This window comes from Homo sapiens, chromosome 3 (assembly GCF_000001405.40).
Source record: "Homo sapiens chromosome 3, GRCh38.p14 Primary Assembly".
Classification (NCBI taxonomy): domain Eukaryota; kingdom Metazoa; phylum Chordata; class Mammalia; order Primates; family Hominidae; genus Homo; species Homo sapiens.
In genome coordinates, this window is record NC_000003.12 from 112,919,895 (window position 1) to 112,933,251 (window position 13,357).

Sequence of the window (13,357 nt, forward strand, 5' to 3'; positions counted from 1 at the left end):
TTTTACACTGTTGGTGGGAGTGTAAATTAGTTCAACCATTGTGGAAGACAGTGTGGCAATTCCTCAAGGATCTAGAACTACAAATACCATTTGACCCAGCAATCCCATTACTGGGTATACACCCAAAGGATTATAAATCATTCTACTTTAAAGACACATGCGCTCGTATGTTTATTGCAGCACTGTTCACAATAGCAAAGACTTGGAACCAACTCAAGTGCCTATCAATGATAGACTGGATAAAGAAAATGTAGCACATATACACCATGGAATACTATGCAGCCATAAAAAATGAGTTCATGTCCTTTGCAGGGACATGGATGAAGCTGGAAACCATCATTCTCAGCAAACTAACACAGGAACAGAAAACCAAACACCGCATGTTCTCACTCATAAGTAGGAGTTGAACAATGAGAACATATGGGCACAGGGAGGGGAACATCACACACTGGGGCCTTTTGGTGGGTGGGGAGCTAGGGGAGGGAGAGCATTAGGAGAAACACCTAATGTAGATGATGGGTTGATGGGTGCAGCAAACCACCATGGCACGTGTATACCTATGTAACAAACCTGCACCTTCTCCACATGTATCCCAGGACTTAATATACCTAATGCTAGATGACGAGTTAGTGGGTGCAGCGCACCAGCATGGCACATGTATACATATGTAACTAACCTGCACAATGTGCACATGTACCCTAAAACTTAAAGTATAATTAAAAAAAAAAAAATAAATAAATAAATAAAATAAAGTATAATAATAATAAATGAAACTAATCTGAAATTAAAAGTTTACTTTAAAAAAAATTAAAAAAAGAAAAGAAACAAAGATTGGCAAGTTCTTTAAAAGTGAAACATCTACATATCATCTGATCTAGCCAATCCACTCATCAGTATTTGCTCAGGAAAAATAAAAATATATGTCAACAAAAATACTTGCAAAATAATGTGTATAGCAGCTTTATTTCTAATAACCCAAAACTGGAAACAACACAAATGTCCACCAACAGGCAAACAGATAAACAAACTGGTATAGCTATAAAATTAAATACTATTTGGAATAAAAAGAATGCAGTATCATTGTGTGGATGTGGATGTATCTCAAAATAATTATAATGAGAAAAAAAGTCCAACCAAAAAAATAAAAGAGTGTCTATTGTGATGATATTTACATGATTTTATTTATGGAAAATTCTAAAAAATGCTAACTAATACATAGTTACAGAAAGCAGATCAGAGGTTGCCTGGGGAGCGGGGGATGAGGAGGAACAAGAAGTTTGTAGGGATAGGCTCACAAAGAAACAAGAAAATTTTGGGGGGTGATGGACAAGTTTATTATCTTGATTATGCTGATGGTTTCACAGATGTAAAACTATGTCAACATTTACCAAAGTCCACATTTTAAATATGTGCAAAATTTAACAAACTGTACACTTAAATATATCAATTATATCTCAGTAAAGCCGTTTTCAGAAGTTTGTAAGTGAAGCATAACCCCAATAGATATTTAGTTATGATGAATTACTTTCAAATTATTAGAGATATTGAAAGAGAGAGAGACAGAGAAAGAGAGAGAAAATTGACAAATCTAGCAAAGCAAAGGAAAAGATACAAAATGGGATGGGGAGAAAGCACAGTAAATGAGACATATAAAATGTTATTTGTAAAATGTAATCGACTATGTAAGTAATCACACCTAACTCCGTCTCAGCCTCTGCTTCCTGGATGACCTTGCTGACACGCCAGGTCTAATCTCTAGATTCTCTAATTTGACAGGTCTAGCGTGGATTTGGAGAATATATATAATTTTTTATATCATTCTAATGTTCAACCATGTTCCAGCCCCATAGTAGAGATTTTCATACAATTATTTTCTGTACAATATAATTTAACTTCTATAAATTATCTTGAAGTCTTTTCTATGATGTCATTTAACATGCCTGTTTTGACATTATCAAGTTAAGAGGTAAGCATAGTACTGTCTTACTTTGTTTTTCAGTAATATTTAAACAGATAGTCTTGAACCTAACTATGAGCCTCAGCTCAACCAGGGTTGGATGAAGAATTAATAAATTTCAAGGACAGTGTAATGATGTCTATTGTGAACATTGCTTGGTAATATTTATATGCAGAAACCTAATGGACACTGCTTTTTGGTCAAGTCAAAATGGCTTGATCAAAATATCATGTGCCAAGTGTCATTAGATTAGCTTTACATCCAAAATAGACTAAAAGTCCCTTTGAGGACAAAATCCATAGTAACTGAAATGTCTAGAGGGAGAAAAATATACTTATAAGACAAAATAGCTGTCTTAAAAATCTCAGATGGTATGATTGAAGAATGAATATATTTTGTTTCAATTTCTATCATGATGAAAAAACTTCTCATGTTTTTTCTGCTATGGAGCAAATAGACTTATGTTTTTAATTAAAAATAATTTCATGATATTAACAATGATTTACATAAACATTGCCAATATTTTGCTCCACAAAAATATGGAGGGGAGGGTCATGCCATCCCATGGCCACTTGCTTATTATGTAGCTCATAGTTTGTAAATAAATACCCCATGTCCTCTATGGTGCATTTTTCGCCACTTATATGGTCAATAGACATTAATTATTCAATAAATATATCACAATAGAATGTACACCATAAAAATACACAATTCCAATGTAGCACATCTGCAAAACTGTTAGGCATCAAGTATCAACACCTCTGTGGAGATATAATGAGTTCAGAAGAAGCTAATGTTCTCACACGTGCATTCACTCTCTTACAAACATGACCAAAAATATAAATCCATTTTTATTAAATAGTATAATTCTTATTATAATCTCACATCATATTTAATCTGGTTGATTAAAAAGAGAAAGTGGCAACTGTAGAAGCAGGAATAGTACAGTTATTAAAATAGAAATTTAGGGAAAGGCACATTTAAACAATGTTGGAGGGAATTTGACATATATATTTGACACAATTTAACATATATATCAATAGTAAAATGCACAAACCCTTTGACCTGACAATTCCACTCAAGAAAGTTATCCTACAGATATACTCAAAAACAAAGAGATATATGCACAAGAAACATTCTATGTGGTATTGTTTATACCACAAACAAAACTTAAAAGAAATAAACAAAACTTAAAAGAATCTAAATATCCATCATTAGGGTTGTTTTTAATTAAATAATGATATAACTATACAATGGAATTTTATATAACCATTAAAAAGAATGAGGTAGCTCTACTTGTCATGATATAAAATGATCTCTAAGACTTATATTATTAGGTTTTCATATGTATAGAACAGTAATGCAGTGTATTGTTCCCACTGGTGCCTTGACAAAGATATGTGCATGTATATGTAAGGGGACACATAAATTGACACATATACCATAGGCATATACACATGTCATATGTACATTAAAATATTCTGAAAGGATACACAAGAAACTGTTCACACTTGCTCCTTCTTCAGTTATTTCTTGAGGAAATTTGGTTTTCATTATTTACTGTCCTGCACAATTTGAATATTTGGTCATGGGCATGTATTTTCTTTGTAATAACATCAGTTCTTCAGAGAACTAGCTGGTAGCAGCTAAGAATCAAAAATTCCAATTATACAAGGGTATGAATGAGAATCCATTAAAATGTCTTCTAAGAACCTTGGAAAACCTAATTTCAATATAAGTCTTCATTCTAGAACTGTAAGAAAATCAGACAGTAATTATAATGTATCTCGTTTGTTGTTGTTTCTTGGTACTAGAGTCCAACAACTTATAAAGTATGGAGGTCTGTGTCAACTTCACTTTGTAATGCCTCAGATGCCTTCACCTTGTTTGTAGTATCATAGAGAGGATTGTTCTTCTCTGTGTAGCTGGCATAGGGCTGCATTTCATCCTAAGAAAGAACTCAAAGTTAAAATCAATTCAAAAAATCATCATAGAGACTATCTGTATTTTTGTAACAGTTGCCCATAGCTTTAGTATTTCTAACAGGTGCTCAAGAGTGCTTATAATTGTGTTTCTGGGCCTATATAAACATAAGAGCAGGATTTGTTCTAACATTTTATCAAAAAGTATTTGTTAACTACATAAGTCTCTGTGTGGAGATAATGGCTCTGTGCAAGTAGGAATGGAGATGAATGAAGTGATATGAGTACTCCAAAGGAGAGCTTTGGAGACTTAGTAAGCTACTTATAATAAGAGATGAAGGAGCAGGATATGTTTTAAGTTTGTGTAAGAGAAAAATAATGATAGTATTGAAAAGGAAAAGTCAGGAATTAGAGATGCTTTCAAATTGGTGACAAGAAACACCAATTCATTTCCTCAAAAGATTACAGTCTAAAGGAGCCAAACATCATATGTGTTAGGATATAGTTCATGAAGTGAAAATGTGGTTCAGAGTGATGATGTATAAATAGTATTTGATAGATAATTAACAAAGTAATCACACATATAAGCACTGCAAGTCAGAACTGTTTTAGTTTTTCAACTGAAACACTAATATTGATACAAACTACAAATTATGTTGCTAGATTTTCAGACTATTGGCTTAAGTTTGCAATTAGTCTTTTTTATCTTATCTTACCTCCTCAACAACTGGAGTAGATTCTGTTTTATTCAATTTATATTTTCTATAAAAATAAAATAAATTGAAGTGAATGGAGGAAACATCATTGTTTAGATCGAAAATGGGAAAATAAGACAGTATACTATTGACAATTGTGTTTAATTTTGATAGAAGCCATAATAAATCAGAAAGAAACTACTAGAAATAAGTGAAGAATACTGCTCGTGGTTAATATCCCCAACTAAGAATATTCCGGATTTTGAAAAAGTGAAATTATGCAATAGAAGCTTGATGCAATTGAATGCATGTAACATCTCCTCTTTGGTGCATGAAGGAATTGTAATTATTTACCCAAATGTGAAAATTAACATGCACTTTCTCTCCCAAGATCCTACCCTAAATGGCCTAATTTTCCATGCTTCTATGCCAAAGCAACCTAGCAAAGTCTCTCTCATCATTCAAAGTAGTCCAAGTCTATCTAACACCTTCAAGATTTGATTATGGGAGATTTGATGTTAACATCCTAATATACCCAATACGGTCAGTTCCATATTTCTGACTCTTTTCTAGCCTAATAAAGCTGAAGAAGAAAAAAACATTCATTAGTCAATACCTGCAGCCATTGACTTTCAACAACCAAATGAATCCCACGATGGTCAAAATAATAATAGTAAGGATGATATATGGAATATATAATTTTGCTGATTTTTTGGCACCTGGAACTATAGACACAAAAATATATGGTTCAAATGTGGTACAATCCAAATAATGTACTATCTTATTATTCAATGTTAAAAAGAAATGAGCTATCAAACCATAAAAAGACATAGAGGAATTTCAAATGTATGTTACTAAGTGAAACATGCCAATCTGGAAATGTTACATATTGTATGATTCCAATTGTAAGACATTACGGAAAAGATAAAACTAGGGGAATAGTCAATAAATTATTGATTATCTGGTGGTGAGGAAGGAGGGAGGAATAGAAAGAGCAAGGAGGATTGTGTAGGACAATAAAACTGTTCCATATAATACTGTACTGGTGGATACATGTCATTACACATTTGTCCAAACCCATGGAATGTACAACACCAAGAATGAACTCTAATGTAAAGTATGGACTTTGGGTGGTAATGTTGTATCAATGGAGGTTCAACAGTTCTAATAAATGTAACACTCTGGTGCAGGTGTAGGTGGGAGAGGTTGGACATGGGCGAAGGCAGGGCTTATATGGGAAATTTCTGTACTTTCCACTCAATTTTGCGGTGAACCTAAAACTGCTCTAAAAATTAATGTCTACTAAAAATAAAGTTATCTATATTTATATCCATATCTATCTATATAGATCATTCAATAATGTCTCACAATACATGAAATTCATATCTGTAGTTTCATTTTCAACACTTCTGCCCCATTAATAGTTTGAGAATTATTAAAATAAAACTGCTTTTTCAATACAGACTCCAGAGTTTTCAGCAAGACATCACCTTATATCAGGGTTTTGTTGCTTTAAAGATTCATTGGTGGTGAATTCCTACCACTCTGTTATAGCAGAGTGTTTCTCCCCTCCAACTAAATGGGCAATTGTAAGGAAGATACTTGGAAAAGTAACCCTAATTCTGAAGTCATCTTTCTCCCAGGGCATTGAAACTGAAATGAATACACAGCAGGAACTTTATTTATTAGCTGCTGGCAGCAATACAAAACTCTATCTGACAAGCGTGCAAATCAACCAAGGAATTGCCAGCCTGAGAGGCAACGATTTGCAAACTATGCTCCTGGTGTTGCATGAATATAGCTCAGGGGCAGCAGAGGAGATGAAGTGGAGACTGAGCAGGCTGGCCTCTGGTCCTTCCACCTTTCTTCCACAGTTGATGTTTTTAAATACTGAATTTCTCCATATGTTATATGAAAATTAAATGTTTGGTTACATTGTTTAAAACAACATTTTTTAAAACCCTTGCTTTCAAACTACTAAGCTCTCTCTCATTAAATTTGTACTAGCAGAAGCTGAAGATCCACCGTGCAAGGAAGACATCAAGGAGATCCCTGCTGTACATAGGAATTTGAATGAGAATTTCCCTTCAATTCTGAGACACTATAAATCTGACATCATATAGTAATATGAAAGGTGATATTTCACACATAACCAAGGCACAACTTCTCTTTTCAGTAAATATTGCTAAACTCAAAAAAACCTACACATATGACTTAAATGATAGATATAAATAAAGGTGGTTTCAACACATGAGATTTTCTCTTCTCCCTCATTAAAACTTACTAAAATGTTGGTAAAAATAATTTTTTTTTTAGTGTAGATCTGCAAAGACAAAGAGAAGAGGATGAAGACAAGAACAGATGAAAGATTTCGAACTGTTTTTAAGTGAGAAATGAATAGAAAACTCGCTAATGATTTACAACATAGAATAAATACAAACCTTAGTATACACAAAACTCCAGGAAAACTCTAGAGTAGGAAGCATCAAATATAGAAGAAGAAGTATGTGGAGGGGTGAAGTGTGGGGCTAAAAGTTGAGAGCTTCTTTGAAATTTTGTCTTGAGAACAGGCAGGTTCCCTTGTCTCCTGCTCCATTTTATGTAGCACACCTTTCCCAACTAGCAGAAAAAGGGGAGATTGGCAGATTGGTCCAAAGAAGATGAACTGGAGAGACTCCAAAGTCAAGGATCCAGACATCAGGGAGGGTGAGAATGAAATACCAGACTGAAGAGAGGTATAAAAGGAAGTCTGATTCTCAACAGTGGCACACTCACATGCACACTCACACACATACACATATTGCTCCCTCCTTTCCCAAACACTGGTAGTCAGGCTTATCTCTCCAAGGCCAGAAACTGCTGAGTTAATTTCTGCAGAGCCTGAACAGCCCCAGAGAAAAGGCCTTCAGATACATAACAAATCTCTAGTTATTAAAAAATCACAGCTTCTTTTCACTGAACTGAAGCTAACTAGTTGACAAATCCAACCATTAACTAGTTGAGCTTCCAAGTAGCTCATATAGTACTCACTTCAAAATGAATCCATACCCAAGGATTACCAAAGAGTGAAGAAAAGTCTCATATATGAAAGAAAGAGTTAAAAACAAACAAATGTATAGAAGACAGAAGAAACTCAGATTAAATAGACACAGGCTAAGTAGAGGACTGAGGCAATGAGAGTGTCCAGGACAATAGCTGTACAGCAGATCTAGAGGCCAATCAGGAGAGATTAGACCAAACACATACCAAAACTCAAGAAGGAATGACTTTGAGAAAAAATAGAACTAACAGATTACCTAATAAATCTGACCATGTAGAAAATATTACTAAGGGGTTCTCTAGTTTTGTCAATAGGCTTAGTGATAGTTCACGATAGGTACATACATTCTTAAGGAAACAAAAAAGGTAAAGCACTTATGAAGTCCAAGGAAAAAAAGTCATTTGAAAGAGAAAGCATGAGTGTATTTCTTGATTCAGCACTTAACAGTACTTAAATATTCAAATTGATGGGAACATAGGCTATTTAATGAAAAATTGCATTACCTCAACTAAAGTTTGAAGGAAAGGAAGAAGGTAATGTGAAATCCTCATCTACCATAAGAAGTTGTGATTACATAATGTCTAAATTTGATACAGTAAGAAATAGCAGTATGAGCATGTTGTATAAAAATGGCACTAATTACCAGAAGAAACACTGGAAAATTTGAAAGTACCTACCTGTGGGGAGTTTAATGGAGATGGCAATTGGGTTGGAAAGACAGGGGTAGAGCTAATGTTTTTCAGGAAGCCTTACAGAACAATTGCACTTTAAATATGTTTGTTGATATTTAATAGTTTTTAAATAACAAGAAATGAGAGTAGGATGAGAGCAGAGAGTAAATAAACTAAACAGTGATTAAATGAATCATAGATGTTATTATAAGACATTTAAGAAATTCAATGATGAAAAGTCCAGAAAACAAAATTACAACAAACTAAAAATTCATAAAAGCAACTTTGAGTAAATGTATCCTTCTAATAGAACCATAATTACATGCTTCAAAGTATACTTTATCTTTCAATAAGCCATAAGTATTATTTTTAAAAGTATACTACTCATGCTAATTAACTACTAGCATAGAAGTGAACATTAATAGTAGAATTAAACTGCATTCTAAAAAAGGGCTTTTTACAACAAATGTCTGTACTATTCTCCTCAACTCATCTCTTTATTTTGGTCAGGGAAGAGATAAAAATGAAGAGTGGGGAGAGCATCCTCGAACAAAATATATTTGCACATCTTTTTTTTTCTTAACTCTTTTAAAAGAATGGAAAAAAATAAAAAATAAAACTAAAAGAATTACTGACCAGGAAGTAGCTCTATGTACAGACTCTTGTTGCCAGTCAAATGGGAGACGTGGCAGGTCACGGTAGACACATTGTGGACCTCCCAGTGGCATGTACTCTTAACAGTCACTGTGCCATTGCTCCAGTATTCTTGCTTAGTGGCACAATCGCCCTCTGGGATCCAGGAGATATGCGCAGCTGGCTTCCCTGCAACTGCCTTGCATACTGCAGTTCTATTCCTGTTTTGAAACAGGGTCACTTCAGGTGTAACTGCAGAGAGGAAAGAGGGAAAAAAATGCTTCGGTTTTCACATAAAGCATATGGAATTCAGAGAGACATTTGTTTCCGTCACAAATCTGGTGATGTGAAATACCTCAATATATGATGCTCCTTACCTAACACTTGGAGGTGATATCCACGATGGAAATTCCCATCAGGTGTTACCATTATGCATCTGTAATACCCGTCATGAGTGATGGCCACGGTACGAATCTGAAGGTCCGAATTCTGATCAGGTCTGGAGACCCAGGTTATTCTCTCATCAGTACAGTTGGTTTCCTTGGTCTCATTTGTTTCTTTCTTGTAGGCTTTTGTGCAGGAAGGCTGGCCTCTCAGGATTATTTCCCATGTTATTATGATCAAATTTCTTAATGCGATAGGAGGGCAACAAAGCACAGCATTTGTAGCCATCTTTACAGGCCATGAAGTGTTAACTGGACATGAAAAGAGAATGATAAAAGAAAAGCTTGATAAAGAACTTCATGTGTTACATTTATCCACAACATATGAAGTTACACTAGAACATAACTTTGTTGGTGATCTTATTCCAAAAATATTAGACCTTCATAAAAAATTAAAATTCTCAAAATATAAATAATATATTGAACCCAATCTAGAGATTAACCAATTTTCTCCTGTATTATGTATTATTAGAAATATGATATATAATAAAGTATTTTTTATATTAATGGAGAAGTTTTAATATCTAGAAACAAAGAGAATTGTAAATTAAACAACAAAGGCAATGTTCTACATCTAATCTTTAGGTGGTGGAGACTATTGCCTTTATCATACAATGTATGTGCCACAGGAAAGAAAATGGAACAATTAGTGATGTGGCTGTCTCCTCCTCAGCTTTGGTGAGCACAAAAAAGTCTATCTCTAAGGTTTTTGTTTCAGACAAACATAAATGTGGTATGTATTAATATATAGTGCTTTCTTTTAAAGTAACTAATATGGCATTTGGGTTGAACTAGCTAGAAATTTTTTTAAGTTCTTTTTTTTAAAAAGAATCACAAAGTCAGTGAAACCCACAGATCTTTAAAAAAAAAAAAACTATTATTCCACCAGTTGAGCCATCCCATAAAAATGAAAAATGATAATGCCCTGTGATAAGAGATGCTTAGAAATATTTATTTCTTGTGAAAATATAGTGTGATATATAATTTTTAAAAAACGATTTATTTCCCTTTAGACATTTTTTATTAAAAATATTTTATTGCAAATTTATGACATTATCAAATGTAGCCTTTGGATGAGTTTTCATTCCTTCCTATTTAGTCACACATACACTTTCAGATAGTTCAGCTGTGAACTTAGCTCACAGATTTTATTTCTGTATATTCAATCCAATTATCAACACTAAAGGCGTAAGTTGATCCCTGTTGTCCATCATTTAAAGGAAAAATTAAGCCCTGCATCCTACAAGCATCTTCCAACGTAGAACCTCATGCATCCCATAAATCGACACAATGTGTCAGTGACTTGGTAAGGGTTTACTGAGAGGTGATTAGTCCACCAAAGTATTTGTCACTACTCACCTCTAACAAAGGTAAGTGTCAGTGATTTCATCACTATAGCATAAGCAGAATCAGCTATAGAGGGGCAAACCTTTATGTGGGTGAAGGATGTTTTTGCTAAACCCTGCATTTAACATCTTTCCTATCCTGTTTTGGTGTCACCTGTCTCTTACATGGTTTGTACTCTAGCCCTTGCATTTCACAGCAAATTAATAAGTACATAACTAGATGAAGAAAGAGGTAATACTTTAACATAGATCTGAGAGGTAGTTAAATCCATGCTCCTTCCGCCACTCCACCTTAGCAAAGGTTCAGAGACAAGCAAGAACATGGCTTGTTTGGAGAACAACTAGAGGTTGGGTCATTCAGGATCCCTCATACCACAGTACTCAGATCACCAAGTTCTTCAAGTAGTCATAAGGCTGGCTTCCAGTCAGGTCATTAGCTAATATTTCTAAGGAAGTTCAACTTTCCATCCCTAGGTGCTGGCCACTAGTAAGGAAGCATATTACCTTCTGCGAGTACTTTCGAGTAGTTCTGTGTAATCTGTTTTTCATCCATACATAAACTGCTTGAAGCTAGAAAATATTTAGAGAAGAATAAATGAAATCAATTTTATGTACTCAGAGTGGAAGCCAGTATCCCTCCACAAAGTCTTATCCAACATGATAGGCAATCAGTTAACCATAATTAAAATTACACAAAAATCATTGTAAAACAGAAATTAGAAGTCATGCCATCATTAGGGGACTAAATGTGTTAATATCCTGAAAATTATACTTAAGTAATCAATAATTTCTCTTTCGTGATACACCTTGTTTTGAAATATTTTGAAAAAGATAAACCTGCCTCTACTGCATCCTTCTTCCTCAGCCAGGGAGATTGGTCTACGTGAGCATCTCACATGAGCTGGTCCAATTATATCCCTTTCTTCAGCTACCACTTCCCAATCAAAGTTATTTGGTCCAATGTTGGGCACTTCACCCAGGTTAATACAGCAGTGCCCTTTCTCAAGAATTTTAGAAGCAAAACTGAGAAGGGGCCATCCATCTCTGTTGCTTTCTCATTTTGTTTTCTACTTATTAGAGTACAAAGGGAAAAATATAGCAGAAGCAAATGTCAGCAAGATGGCTGACTAGAGGCCCCTGGTGCACATCTCCTCCAAAAGAAAGGACCAAGCAATAGACAGCTAAGATTCTACTGGAGTATCAAAGGGAGAGTGCAGGAGTGCAGAAAAGTAGTGGAGAGGAGCTCGTGGTCATCAGAAGCTCAGGAGGGAAGCATAAAAGCACCCTGCCTCTGGCACCCCATCCTTCCACATCCTCTTCCTGGATTGGCCCAGGCTCAGGAGGGACTTCCTCTTGCAGGGAAAACATAAGCAGAAGAACCCCACCAGCCCCTATAGCTACTGAAAAGAGTTATTTCAAGAGAATTTCACAGTCCTCACAAGCCCTGAGCCCAGTGTGGAGTGCTACCAGGAATTCATACAGCTGCACTGCTCCAGATAAGGGGCACAATGTGTACACCTGCTACCTCCCACCCACCCTCTGTGAGCCAAGCTGCTGCAGCAAGGGGCCACCATGGACTAGAGCCACTTTTGAAGTACACCGTGTCCTGGGGACTAGTAGCCACTGTACCTCTCCAGCCCACCAGCTGGCTATACATTTGCTGCATGGAGCCTGGGCTCAGGATTGGCTGTGACTCTGGTCCTGCACAGTAGGGAAACCAATCCCCTCTCCCCACACTTCCAGCCAGAGAAACAGTCTGGCAGTCCTACCCGGGACAAACCTGCCATTGAGCTGGCCAAACCACTGCATGCCCTCTCCTGAAGGGGAGAGGACCCAGCAGCTGACATAACCCTAGGCCAGCTGAGTGTACATGCATCCTCACCCAGGGCCTGGGAAACAGTCCTGTGCCTCCTCCCCAACAAACATGGCCACAGACATGTCCCCAGGCCTCCCCAGCAGCCCCATGCCCTCACTCAAGGCCTGAGAAATAGCCCTGTGAGCCCTCCATGTGGCAGATACACCCCCATGACTAATCAGCAGCCCACACCAACACTCAGGATCTGGGAAACTGTCAAGGGTGTCGCTCCCAGAGGACACATCCCCAGACCTACATATCAGTTCCATACCCACAACTGGGGCCTGAGAAACAGCAGGGCAGATCCACTCCCAGTGGACATCCCCCCCAGGCCAGCCCAGCAGTCACATCCACGGCTGAGAAACAGCCCCACAAGCTCACTGTTGGCAAATATAACCCCAGGCCTACCAAGTGGCCCCGTGCCTGTAACCAGAGCCTAAGAAACAACCCAGTGGATCCACCACTAGTGGAAACTCAGCCAGGCCAGCTGAGTGTCTGCATGATTATGTCCTGGGCCTGAGAAACAGCCAGCGGGCCCCTACTGTGAACAACCCTAGACTGACAGATTGTGCATTCACCCCCAGGAACTGAGAAACAGCACAGCAGGCATGCCCCTGGTGGACATACCTACAGACCAGCTGAGCAGGTGGGGACCTGTACCCAGGGCCTAAGAAATAATCTGGTGGGCCCACTCTCAGCAGACATGCCCCCAGACTGGCCGAGTGGCTGCCCACCCACTCCAGAACCTAAGAAACAGCCCAGTGGGTCCACCCCTAGCAGACATGCCCTGAGGAT

At 36.8% G+C, this 13,357-nt stretch overlaps 1 protein-coding gene across 4 annotated transcripts in view; it reads right to left on the reverse strand.

The window, feature by feature from the left end:
- Positions 1-1,310: 1,310 nt before the first annotated feature.
- Positions 1,311-13,357, reverse strand: part of CD200R1 (CD200 receptor 1) — a 53,899-nt gene continuing 41,852 nt past the window's right edge. For 2 of the 4 annotated variants that reach the window (NM_170780.3, NM_138806.4), the window contains 6 exons: positions 11,212-11,277; positions 9,296-9,613; positions 8,922-9,170; positions 5,191-5,299; positions 4,596-4,641; positions 1,311-3,905 (listed from right to left, as the gene is read on the reverse strand). In NM_170780.3, the coding sequence (NP_740750.1) occupies positions 3,783-3,905; positions 4,596-4,641; positions 5,191-5,299; positions 8,922-9,170; positions 9,296-9,613; positions 11,212-11,277 (911 nt within the window). In that variant the 3' untranslated portion in view covers positions 1,311-3,782. Of the gene's footprint in view, positions 3,906-4,595; positions 4,642-5,190; positions 5,300-8,921; positions 9,614-11,211; positions 11,278-13,357 lie in introns of those variants that run through there. The other 2 variants (NM_138940.3, NM_138939.3) reach the window with 1 other exon arrangement.